The 13,161-nt window shown below is 50.6% G+C and overlaps 1 protein-coding gene and 1 long non-coding RNA gene across 4 annotated transcripts in view, besides 1 other annotated feature; one reads left to right on the forward strand and one right to left on the reverse strand.

Moving 5' to 3' along the window:
• Positions 1-13,161, reverse strand: part of PEBP4 (phosphatidylethanolamine binding protein 4) — a 227,827-nt gene that overhangs the window by 36,535 nt on the left and 178,131 nt on the right. The gene's annotated exons all lie outside the window — the stretch shown is intronic.
• LOC107986925 (uncharacterized) lies at positions 21-8,607 on the forward strand. 2 transcript variants are annotated; one of them, XR_002956696.2, is made up of 4 exons: positions 947-5,077; positions 5,943-5,955; positions 6,046-6,223; positions 7,179-8,607. It is a non-coding gene; the product is annotated as an uncharacterized LOC107986925 (long non-coding RNA). The 2 variants fall into 2 exon arrangements; XR_007060852.1 differs by having other exon boundaries at positions 21-5,077; positions 5,943-6,223.
• Positions 5,278-5,387: an enhancer, noted in NCBI's record as "active region_27096". NCBI's record gives its function as "activates an Ori minimal core promoter by ATAC-STARR-seq in GM12878 lymphoblastoid cells {active_cell/tissue: GM12878}" and the evidence as "EXISTENCE:reporter gene assay evidence [ECO:0000049][PMID:35858748]".

Below are 13,161 nucleotides of genomic sequence, written 5' to 3' on the forward strand. Positions count from 1 at the left end.
TGATTCTCAGTTTGTCATTCTTTTTTTTTTTTTTTTTTGAGATGGAGTTTCGCTCTTGTTGCCCAGCCTGGAATGCAATGGCACGATGTTGTCTCACTGGAACCTCTGCCTCCTAGGTTCAAGCGATTCTCCTGCCTCAGCCTCCTAGGTAGCTGGGATTACAGGCATGTGCCACCATGTGGGGCTAATTTTGTATTTTTAGTAAAGACGGGGTTTCTCCGTGTTGGTCAGGTTGGTCTCGAACTCCCGACCTCATGTGATCCGCCTGCCTCGGCCTCCCAAAGTGCTGGGATTACAGGCGTGAGCCACCGCACCCAGCCTTTCTTTCTTTTTTGAGACTGAGTCTCGCTCCATTGCCCAGGCTGGAGTGCAGTGGTGTGATCTTGGCTCACTGCAACCTCCACCTCGCGGGTTCAAGCAATTCTCCTGCCTCAGCCTCCTGAGTAGCTGGGATTACAGGTGCCTGCCACCACGCCCAGCTAATTTTTGTATTTTTAGTAGAGACGGGGTTTCACCACTTTGGTCAGGCTGGTCTCAAACCCCTGACCTTGTGATCCACCCGCTGTGGCCTCCCAAAGTGCTGGGATTACAGGCGTGAGCCACCGCGCCCAGCCAGTTTGTGATTCTTTATGATACATTAATGCTTTCATTTTCCTAGGGGCTTGGATGTGCATGGGGCTGGAATTGGAAAAAATTTATCTGGGCAGAATTTTTTCTTCTTCCAAAATCAAGGTGGATGGTTCTGGGCACATGGCTGGTGCTTTTTAGGTACTTGTTGATCTGCCCGTTGGGGTAACTCCTGTTTCACCTTCTATGGGAAGGAAGGGAATATCCCGTGGGAGTTTGTTTTTTTTCCTTGACTATTCTCATCCTTGTGATTGCATTCTGGCTGGGCAGTTAGAAAGGAGGGGGTCAGATGGGCCACTTCCCCATCCCTAGGGTCAAGCTTCACTCTCTCTCAGCTCCCTCTCGGAACTAAGACCTGAGCAAAGGGGTCAGTCTGTACAGTGCAGCCACCCTGACTGACTGTTAGAGAAATAAACAAGATGTTATTGTGCCGAGGGGAGAAGAGTTACATCAAAAGTATCTCAGAGAGGAAGAAAGCCAAATTTCTTTTTATATGAGATGCATGGATAGGGGGAGAGAGAGAGAAAAAAATGCCTGGGTAATTAACTTAATAGGTTTCTTAAAGAATGCCCTTGTGAGTGATGTTCAACACATTCAAGTGTTGACAAGAAGGCATTGAACTTGACGCCCACGCAGCGGGCAGAAGCATGCTCTCGGCTCCAACACACCTTCTTTGTCTGAAACTTGTGGTAAGACTCAGTGCTGGGTTGTGAAATCTGTCCCAGGGAATCCGTGCTGCAGGAGCTCCAAGGTCAAGCCCCGTGCTTCTGGATAGGGTTGGGGCTGGCAAGGGTGACCACTCGGAACTAAGATCCCACGAGTAGGAGAGCAGAGGAAGAGGCCCTCAAGTCAGACACCTAGAGATGCTGCCATGCCTGGGAGAGACCCGTGAGCTCTAGGGCTCCCAAGACAACCTGCCACTCTTGGGGGTGGTCGGAACAAACCTCTGCTTCTTCCCTGCAAATCCTGGTTGCCTTGGGAAACTTGGGTCTGATGTCCAGGAACACGTGTGAGACCCTAGGTCTTCCCTATCTTGATGAACTAAGGGAGGAATCTAGGTGAATGTATCAATGTGGATTTTCCCTTTCTCCTAAATCGGTGGTAGATAGAGAGGCCCCAAATCATTGCTGGGCTGCTGAAACAGGAGGCTTTGACTTGGATAAGGAGGAGTGTGTCTGTGTGTGTGTGTGTGTGTGTCTGTGTGTGTGTGTGTGTCTCTGTGTGTGTGTGTGTGTGTGTGTGTGTTGTGCGTCTATATATTTGTATTTACAGAACATTTTGGGTTGCTCTTGACTGAAACCACAAGAAGCATAAATCACTGTTCCTAAAACAAAGCAGTCTCCTCTGCCAGGCAGCCTGCCTCAGAGGCCCCAGATGTGGATGGGGCCCTTGGCCTCTGCCTGTTGCTGGCAGATCAGCCTGCCTTCCCATTGTCAGTCACCCACTCTTCTCATCACCAGCCACCCACTCAACCACCCTCTCTTTCTTTTTGTTTCTTTTTTGAGGCAGGGTCTCATTTTGGCACTGAGGCTGGAATGCAGTGGTTTGATCATAGCGCACTGCAGCCTTGGCCTGCTGGGCTCAGGCAATCCTCCTACCTCAGCCTCCCGAGTAGCTAGGACTACAGGCACACACCACCATGCCTGGCTAATTTTTTTAAAAAGTTTTATATTTTATAGAGTTGGAGTCTTGCTGTTTCCCAGGTTGGTCTCGAACTCACTCCTGGCCTCAAGCAGTCCTCCCACCTTGGCCTCCCAAAGTGCTGGGATCACAGGCGTGAGCCACCCTGTCTGGTCCCATCCTCCCTGTCTGTTACATTAGGCTCAGGCTTATCAGGAGATGGGTGTTTTCAGGCTGGGACCTGAATCTCAGGGTCTCTGTCACAACCATAGTGGCCAGATTTGTAAAATGGATAAAAAAGGTGACATGAATGCCTTTGTGAAAGAACTTCTCTTTCTTAGATACTTTACCAAATAAAGCAAACTAAGTCTACGGTTGCCTGGCCATAGACCCTGTGGAAGCTCACTTTAAGGGAGCAATCCAAAAGGCCCAAATCCACACCCTTGGTTAACGGGTTTCCAGCCTGGGAGAAGGACCTGCACTGCCTCTCACCCAAAGTCATATACCAAGACTGCGCGTGTCTGTGTATGCCGTGGGGAGAGTGGGGTGAACTAGAAATGCTCCTCATTTACAATCAGTCATCGTGGAAGGGAATCTCCTCTTGCAACCAGAAAGTCTGGGCTAGCTCTCTGCTCCTGTTATTGGCCCCAGCCCTTGTTCTGGGGGCTCATTTCTGCCTGCAGCAGCTGGTTCCCACCAAGGCAATGCCATTATTCTGGAGAGGCAGGATTCCAGAATTTGCATAAACTCCTAGGGCATTTCTGTTTCTAGGAAAAGGGAAGAGGTCGTCATCTTTCTGCCTAACTCCCCATGCATTAGGACATGATAGTCAAGAAAAGGCTGTGGGCTTAGCTGGGGATGCCCGTTAATTTTACAGTCCAATTTCTCCTTCCTTCACCACCCCATCCCTTCTCCAGGCTGGAGACGTATTCCTGCTATGTCTCCTCTTTTCCCCATTGCCCAAGTTGAGTTTCCTAAGGGCAAATGGAGCAGGTTAATCAGATTCCTCACTTGCCTGTTTGGCCCAGGTGTGTGGTCAGGGAAGTATCCTGGTAGCTTAGTTCAGCGCACATTGATCGAGTGCCTACCAGGTGCAGAGACAGGGCTGGGTACTACAGGGGATACAAAAATTAATAGTCTCACTGTTAATAATTCCTGCCTTTAAGGAGTGTTCATTCCATGGGAACCACACAGCTGCCTGCACCATCCCTATATTCTTAGAGAATAGATGCTCCCTGCTCAGGAGTCAGGAGGGAGCTGTGAGCATCCCAGAGACAAGCAGGTTTCCAGAAACTATCTCTCAGTAATGCAGAACCCACCTTCCAGCATCGAAACTGGGGGCCGCATGAACTTTGACAAGGAGACAACAATCAAGGTGGGACAGATTTGTGCCTCAAACTCTCTTGAAAATATAATTTTCTTCCCTTGGATATAGCTGGCTCGAGTGAAGCAGCCTTCTTTTAATCTTGACAAAATAATGAAATCAGATCAGTGATATTGGCGTGTTTCATGTGGACACATGATGCTGGGAGAACTTCAGAGCTAGGCAGCTCCCACAACTGCCAAGAGACTGAAGCTGAACTTCAAGGCAGAGTCCTCCAGAGTGGCTTAGGCAAAGTCTCCACCTTGCTGAAGCCCTTCCTGGTCCACCACTCCTTGTGGAGGAGAGGGGAAGGTGGGAGCCAGGGTCTGGGGCTTTGCCGGGCTGGTGGCCGCCTCAACATTGGCTTTGGGATGAATCTCAGGACCAGACTTCCCCGCCCTTGTGTGGGAGGTGTGAGGGGCTGGAGCTGGGAGGCAGGAAGTGAGCGCAGATGGGCTACCGCCTGGACAGCTGTGCGGGGAACAGAGCACATCTGTCTGGGTGTGAGTGGGGCCCCTCCCCACAACCTCTGCTGATTCTACATGTTTGATAGGGTGTGGGCTGAGGGTGTGGGCTGAGGGTCCCAAATGGGGAAGAAGATGGGAAAGTCTGACTATAGAGCAGGAACGAGGGTTGCTGATGGGGTATGTTCAGATGGAGGGAGAGGAGGGTTGAAGAGAAAGTGGAAAATGGAAGCAAACAGATCAAATTTTATCTTTCTCAGGATGGGCTCTGGGCTTTCAGCGGCTCTCCAAGCCCCAGGGTCTGATGTCTGTTCCTCTGGGAAGCTGCCCTAGACCCCTGGCCGCCCCACCCACAGGGTGCTCCCTCCTGGTGCTTCCAGTATCTTACATCGTAGTTGTGAAAGTCCCTGGGATAACTGCTCATTTTTCTACCTTACCTACTGGACTGCGGGTGTATTAAGATCAGAGACCTTGTCTCTGTGACTGAATCCTCACTCTGTAGACGTGTGTTGAGTGAATGAATGATTTTATGACCTTAACCAACACAAATTTTTCTATTTAATTCCTTAATTTTTCTCTAATTGGCTTTAAAAATTGCTAGGAAAGCTTATCCCAAGTAGATGCCTGGGAGATCTTTGGGAGTTAGAAGCTGGAGTAGATTTCTCATCAGAAATTTGCCAGCAGGCCTGGAAGTGAGAGAGCCTTTTGCTCTTTTCAGGGAGCAAAGCAGAGAGGAAAGGCTCATTCTAGAAACTGCACACCCTGACTTGGCTTCATGGCCATTTGTGTGGCCTCCTTGGGGCGGTTGGTCTCCCTCCACATGAAGCTGTCATCTGCCTGATATTGAGCCAGCTAGGCAGGGAGTATGGATCACACAGACCTCTGCAGGCTCAGGAGGTGGATAATTTCCCCACATCTCTCCCCTCCCTCACCTCTCTCTGGTTTTCACAGTGCAATGAAAGGATGTGGGAGTTTGAGACCCATCTCTGCTGTGTGGCCCTGGGTGAGTCAGTTCTCCTCTTTGGGCCTCAGTGTTCTCATCTATAGAATGGGAGGGCTGGACTGAGACTCCTTCCGGCTCTTAACTACTGTGAATCTGGTAGGCTAATGAGGAGGGAATATGGCCCTTGGTGGTTATTACTGTCTCCTGAGAGCCTGGGCTGGGGCTTTCCCTTAACTTAGGTGTGGGAAAGTGGGGAAGGGCCCAAGAGGCCATTATTCCACTCCCGGGTTTCGAAACCACTCCTGAGTTCACCTGCTGCTATAACGGTGACTCTTCTTGGATGATTTAGTTGAGTCTTGCCTGGAGTCCAAAGATCTGCTTGAGTGATTCTTAAATGTTTCTCAAGCTTCTGCTCCTGGCTTTCTATTATCTAGCGGAGTGTAACAGAAATGCCAATAGGCAGGAAGGAAGAGCTGAAGTTCCCAGGGCTTTGGGCCAAAATCGTATACTCATTTCTCTCCCTCTTTTTTTTTTTTTTTTTTTTTTTTTTTGAGACGGAGTCATGCTCTGTCACCCAGGCTGCCGCGCAGTGGCGTGATCTCGGCTCATTGCAACCTCTGCTTTCCGGGTTCAAGCGTTTCTCCTGCCTCAGCCTCCTGAGTAGCTGGGATTACAGGTGCCCGCCACCACACTCAGCTAATTTTTGTATTTTTAGTAGAGATGGGGTTCTACCATGTTGGCCAGTCTGGTCTCAAGCTCCTGACCTCAAGTAATCCATCCACCTTGGCCTCCCAAAGTGGTGGGATTACAGGCGTGAGCCACCGTGCTGGGGCAAAATTGTATACTCTTTTCTAACATCATTTTTGTCATCATCATCACCATCCATTACTGATAATGTTAGACATTTATTGTTCTTTTTTTTCAGCCATGTGCAGTGGGTAAGTACATCAGCAAGCAAACTGGCCTCAAGAATCCCGCCCTATCCTGGGCATCTGGGGTTGAGGCTGGCTGTGCCAACCTTTGCACAGGGTTTCAATCTGACCTCACTCAGAAAACGGAGCCACTTGCTTAGAGTCCCTCTCTCTGAACACGCTCTCCCCTCTGGAGGAAAAGCATTGCAATCCCAAGCTCCTGCTGCTGCCGTACATCTGCATCTTATTCATCTTTGAAGCTCCTGCAATGCCTCCAACGGGGACACAACTAAAGGTGCTCGCTAAATACTTATTGATAATAATCATTATAATGATGTATCATAATAGATTCAGCGGGGAAGTTGGCTACTGAGCTGCCCTGAGCTGAGACCCATATTTAACTCCTTGTCTGAGCATCTTCTGTGCTCAGGCCAGAGCGACAGCCTTGCGAGGCTAGCGTGGGATGGTCTGGAGACAAGGTGGCAAGACTCAGGCAGGAGCTGAACAGCTGGCGCCTCCTTCTGGCCTCGCAGGGCTGGAGCAGGACTGGGGAGGGCGGGCTTGTGCGAGAACCTCTGCCCCTGGGCTCCCAGGATGTGACCCTCCCTGCCAGAGACCCTTAACCCCGGACAGCCCCAGCTCAGGAGAGCTAACAGTGAGCGAGGGAGGCTGTTATGTAACCGACTGAACTCCTCGTCAACACTGGTGACTAATTCCGACAGTCTCGGCCAGTTGTGGCTGATTCTCACACCCTCTGCTGGATGCATCTCTCCGCTTCCTCCCTGGCCCTGGCCCCAGCCCCACCAACCTCCACCACTGTCCCATGCTCCTCCCCACGTGGACTGGGGATGCTTGGGGAAGCAAGCCTTTTCTAGATGCGTCCAGCCCCCAATCTTTGCATCCCTTCCTGCCTTAAAAAGATGCCAGGAGCAGATTGTCCATTTCTGTCTGTACAAAAACCCACTTGCCTGGGGGCTCATTGAGGCCCTTCTTTTGCTCCTGGGTAAGGGAGAAGAAAGTGGTTGCTGGCAGGCTGGGAATTTCGGCTTGCCAAGGCTGGGACTGTTGAGTTCGGAAATCGTGGTGGCCAAACTCCACCATTTACCAGGGGAAAGGGACCCAGGGAGTACCTGACCTCCCTCAGTCTCTGGACCTAGGACCCCTGGCCCTGTGGGTCGCAGGTTCCCTGGATGATGCTGGGGAAAAGGCCTGTGTTCATTGCCTCAGTTCTAATTTTTCTTTTTCAAAAGGAAGCTCTCAGAACGCCCAGCTATCCCCACTGCAGAAGGCTCTCCCTGAAAGGGCACAGGTGGAGGACGTTTGCATTTATCTGGAGACAGTTCATGGAGAAACACAAAGAGGTGTCCTGACAAGACAACAGGTCCACAGCAGTCGTCATCATGAGTGCTCACCATATGCCAGGGTTCATCTTTTAAAATCCTTAACCAAACAACCAAACTGTGGTTGGGATTATTCTCTTTTTATAGGTGAGAAAACTGAGGCTGAAAGCCATTGGGTGGTTTGCCAAAGCTGAGAAGTAGCTGAGCTGGGGTTTGTACTCACACCACGGTGACTCGGAGGCCCAAGCCAGTTCTGACACACTGCCTTCCCATGACATTCCCACGACAGGTTCCCGAGGTCGTTGGAATGCTTACACATTTCAGCAACTTCATGGCAACTGCCCAGCTCGACCCAGAAGATAATACTACCTTGTACTCCCCCTGCCGCTTCCTTCCTCCAGGCAGCTCACAGACATGACCTCATTCCCTCTCCCAGAGTCCCATAGGGGTGAAGGACAGGGTGGGGATCGTTAACTCTGCTTCCTAGGGAGGAAAGGGAGGCCCAGAGAGGGATGCTGGCCCACCCTGGGTCATCCAGCCAGCTAGCGGGAGAGCTGCAACTGGAAATCAGGCTTCCCTGCCCTCGGGGACAGTTATTTAGCCTCCTGGATGTGAGCTAGAATCACCCCTAAGATGCAGCAATTGGGGTACTCCTCTTGGGGTACTGGGACTCAGTGGCTGAAACAGCTCCAAGAGAGTTGGGCCTGTGCTGAAAACAGAAATCCGAGATGCATATAAATTCAATCCGTATGAGAAGAGCAGGGTGGCCTGGGAGGAGTGGTCACCGCAGTGGCTCCACCTCCTACCCGGCCACCTGCAGCCCTGCCTGGGCTGCTCTTGGTCTCTCTGTGCCCAGCTTCCCTGGCCGGATGCCCTGGGGGCCAGAGCAGCCGCAGGTGCGATGAAAAGAACACTGGCCTTGAGGTCATGGGACCTGGGGAGGATATTCACCAGGGGCCCCTAAGTTAGTCATTTTAGCTCTCAGCTTTTCCATTTTTCATTCAAAAAATGGGGACTCTAACTCCATGAAAGAGACATTGTGTGTGAAATATTTCATCATAAGCTGTGAAGCCTGCAAAGAAACTCCTGGTGTTCTCTGTAGCCTGATTTCATCTCTACTAAACGCTATTTTGAAAATGATTTTGAAGCTGGTGGGTCACATAGAAGGATGGCCTGAGCATCCATCCATCTTCCCTCCGGTGACCCTTTCACTTCGTGTCTGTGGTACCCAGTGCCTGGTACTGAATGTTCCTGGGTGGCCCCGTGGTTCGGCAAACTTTCTGGAAAGGCCCAGGTAGTAAATATTTGAGGCCTGGTGGGCCACATATGGTTTTGGTCACATGTTCTTTGTTTGTTTCTTTTCTTATAACCCTTTGAAAATGCAAAAACCTTTCTCAGCTCACAGGCCCTACAAAAATAGGTTGATTTGGCCTGTGGGCTGTCGTTTGCAGGGGGCCGGTTTACCTGGTAGAAAGTGGGTGGGTGGGAGTTTGGAAATGGACAGAAAAGCCCGCAGCCCAGTTTTGCACTTGCCTGGCTGTATGCTGTTAGGCCACTCACTTGGCCTGCCCCGGAGTTAGTTTAATGGTCTGCCCTATGATTCTAATGATGCCTACTTCAGGGGCTATCATGAGAATAACATGTACCCCATAGCAGGCTCTCAGCAGATGGGAGCTGATGTCATTGCTTCTGTCCAACAAGCATGAGAATGCAGGGTCCAGGGGTGGCCCACCCTGTCCGCAGTATGGTGGGGTGGACAGCGCTTTCCTAGGGCTTGGGATATTTTATCAGGGAGCCAATGCCTTGCCTTGGAAGGGAGAGGCCCCCAGGCTGGGGTTTCATGACAGAAAGAGGAGTGAAGTCCGGGGCTTATGTCAGGAGCTGGTCAGTGCACACTGGCAGAGCATGGAGAAGTGGAAGCCAGGGGAGGGGAGGACCATCTGCAGGGAGGGGGCGAGGGTGGGAGGAGGGCCATGGGAAACAGCTGTTTACCTGTTTTGGGCAGCTGTGATGGGCTCTGCTGGCCTTGGGGGAGTGATCCCAGGTGGCTAGAGTGGCCACAGCAGTCTGGTGGGCTCAGGGAAAGGTGGGGGTAGACGTGAGGCGCTGCAGACCTGGGCCCCAACACTGACTTTGTTGCTGTCAGGGGTGGGGGCTGGGAGTCTTTGAGGCTAGAAGAGACCCCGCATAGACGGAGGCCCAGGGAGGCCCAGGGCTTTGCCAAGAGAGGATACCCGGGGAGTACCCAGTCCTCTTGAGTCCTGGCTTCTTGTCAAGTGAAACATTAGAGAAGGACAGCCTTTTTTTTTTTTTCCTCAACAAAGGGTGGACTGGAGTAAGCTCTCCCCATAATAATGAAAGCAACCATGTCCCAAGTGCCTTCTGCATATCGGGCGCTGGGCCGGATCTTTGTGCACCTTGGCACCCATCCTCTCAACAAGCCTCTGCCACCATGAGGGGTAGAGGTGCCCGCTCCGTCTCAGGGCTGCGGGGCTGCAGCTGGGGTGAGAACTGGCTGGAGTCAGTGGTCCTGCCTCCTCTGTGCCCCACCACCTCCCCGGGAGCCTGGCTCTGCCATGGGTTCAAGTTGCAGTAGGATACCCAGGCCAAGGGGGTTGCAATCTTGATTCCTTTCTTTTTGAGAAATGCAGAGAGAAGTTATGTAGTTCCTCGAGAAGCCCCCATCACCACCCAGCCATGGAGACTGCTCCCTTCCGCGTACCCGTGCCGTCTCATGGCTGGTTCCGAAGGGCTCAACTGGGAACAGCCTCCCAGGCTGCAACATAGCAGTGTGACACGGAGCTCAAGGCAGCGTCTCAGTGGTTTGCTCATTTCTGCACATGCTTGCATCTGTGTGTGCCCTTCCTCTATCTAGACAGCACTTCTGTCACTTCTCTCCTGGTAAACTTCTATTTGGTCCTTTAAAACACAGCTCAGATGTCACCTCCTCTGGGAAGCCTTCCAAGACTACCTAGGCACAGTTATCAGGCATTTTGATTGTGCTCTTATCGTTGCATTATTTTCAGGGACAAACATCGGTTGGGCACTTATTACACCCTAAGCTTTGTGCTAGGCACCTCACTGCATTATCTCATTGAATACTTACAAACCTATGGGGTGGATATTCTTACCCCCATTTTATAGACAGGGAACCTGAGGCTTAGAGCAGTTAAATCACCTGCCCAAGGTCACCTAGCTGTTGAGTGGTGAGACTGGGAAGTGAACACAGGCAGTTTGACTCCGGTGCCCTCCCTCCTAACCACTAAATTATATTGCCTCCCTTACATGACTTAAAATTGCCCCAGACTGTAATTAAACGTTTATGGGTCTGGTAAACGCCTCACAAGCAGAGACCATGACTTATTTATCTTTGCTGCCTTAGAACATAGCACATAGTACAATGCATATAGTAGGTGCTTGGTGGATGCTTATGGGATGAACAGTGAATGAAGAGGCCATGGGGGTTGAGGCTGCTGATGGAAGGTGGGGTGGCTGAGGCCAGGGAAGGGAGGATGGCAGGGGGGGCAGTTGAGTGGACAACGTGTGTGTGTGGTGGGTGCAGGGAGAAGGCTCCAGAGGCCTGGGAAGGAAAGTGGTTCCTACAGGGCCTGTACCATGCCATTTTGGAATCCCCAGGCTACTACTTAGTAAGCGTCTTCAATATGCTAGCAAGTGCTTCAGACATGGGCATTCTAAGTCCACAATACGAGAAGGCTTGTGCAAACCCCCAGACAACTAACTCACATAGGAAGAGCCTAGACCTCAGTCCTCGTAGGATGAACTCTGGCAAAGGTTCCCCTGAAGGCGAGGTCTAGACCAGGTGACCTTGAACGTGTCTCTGAGCCTTGCTGGCATTCTTTGGGTCTAGGGTGTTCAAGGAGGTTTCGCGCACACCAGTTGCCCTGTGCATTAGTCCTCTCTTGCACCTTGTGACTCTGTCATAGTAGCCTGACTTCCCAGAGGAAGCGAGCTCTAGGGCCAGCGGGGAGGCGGGCATCAGATCTCCATCTCCTCCTGGCCCCCTCTGCCCATGGCCCACAGGAGGTGGGACCCTGCCAGGCCCCAAAGCCTGGAGCCTCCCCAGCAAGCACAGGTGGGCTGTGAGGTCATGCTTCTCAGACCTGAAAGGAGACAGCCATCACATCTTGCAGGTGGGCCTGCCCCGGGGAACTGTGGGGTGGGGTGTGTGTGTGTGTGTTTGTGTGTGTGTGAACCCCTCTAGCCTTATTCACAGTCCCCTCTGGGGGCCAGGGGCGCCCCTTGATGCCAACCGGAAAGCCCTTATCTTGCCCGGAAGAGGTCCAAAGCATGTGTGGCTCCTGACATGGCGAGGGGAGGCTGGGGGGAGGCGGGGAAGGCGGAGAGAGCGAGAAGACCCCCCTGCAAGCCGTGTTCATACAAAATGCATTTCCCAACGTATCCCTCTGGCCTGTCGGAGCCCCTTCTGCTCACTGCTCTGTTTATACATGATAGACAACTAATTAACATCCAAACCTCTTGAAAGGTCTTTTCAGAGGTAATGTTCTGACAGATTATGTCAGCAAGGAGCACTGATTTGTCTAAGCATGGATCACATTGTTTCAGATTGAATGAGGTGAATATTAAACTGCTTTAAATGTACTCTTCATAAAGTACTAATTACACACTCCCAAGAGAGAACAGCCAAGGAATACTAAACAGTAGAGAAGTCAACAGAGGGTTCTTTTTATAGTATGTTGCTGGGCTCTGTGTTTTTCTGTCTCCTTCTTTCTCGCTCTCTCTCTTTCTCTCTTTTTTTTTACAGTAAAATCACAGCACGCTAAAGAATACACATTTATAGCACAATGCTTCTCATCTAATTATATGGCAATCATTAGTTTTAAGCTGGATGCATTATATTTTCTTTGATATATTATGCCTAAGGCATAACTCTGCATTTATTGTTGCTACTGGCAGATTTTAGCTCCCCCACAAGCCCCCTTTTCCAAACCCCAACTACTTTCTAACCCCCACCTTTTAACAAATTATTTAACCCCTATGTTAGTTTGCTTATTGTGCCAGAAAAAAAAATCACAATTTAAATCGGCAAAAAAATGGGTGAAACAATATACCCTTCATTAATTTAAAGAAAAGAAATCGCATGTGTTCTGGGGAGCTGTGCAAATTTTATTAACCAGGTGATGTCCTGAATACACAATTTCTACCTCCCACCCCAGTGAATTTCCTTTGCAACAAATTCTACCAGATCACACTGAATTCCCTCTTGGCTGAGACTCCTTGTCCCTCAGGGAAAGAGATATTTATATGTATATAAATATATATCTAGAAAAGCAACACAGGGTGGAAAACCATGTGCCAAAGAGCATTCCTTCAAAATGCCTATCCACAGATGTAGCCAGAATTCTGCTCCATCAGTTTTTCTGGGTCTTTCTGACATTAGCTTTTGCCCATGGTTGAGAAAAAGCAAGGTCAATTTTGAGATGTCCTAGGCTCTCAGATTCTCAATCCTGAAGAAAGGAAAAAGCCAAGTTCCCTGGGGATGGATGATATTGACCCATCTGGTTTCTTCTCGGTCAGGCCTCCAATTCCCATGCCGTTGCAGAGAAAAGAGACTGCAAGTCTCCGAGAGGTAGAATTACTTCTCCGTAAGTGGCAAAGTGGGGCCATGTTCTCCCCAACTGTGACTTTCTCTTTCCCTCCCCACTCCAATCAAAGAACTGTGGAGTCTTGGGGTTGAAGGCATCAGAGATTTCCTTTGCTCGTTGTGTTACAGCCAAGGATTCCTGGCTGAAAGGGGCTATGCATGTCCCCTAACATCACAGAGCTGCCTGCGGTCAGGACTGGACTCCAGGTTCCTGACTCCTAGACCAGTGTCCACTTCAGACAGAGAAGTTCCAAGCAACTCTTCCTACAC

Source organism: Homo sapiens, chromosome 8 (assembly GCF_000001405.40).
Source record: "Homo sapiens chromosome 8, GRCh38.p14 Primary Assembly".
NCBI lineage: Eukaryota > Metazoa > Chordata > Mammalia > Primates > Hominidae > Homo > Homo sapiens.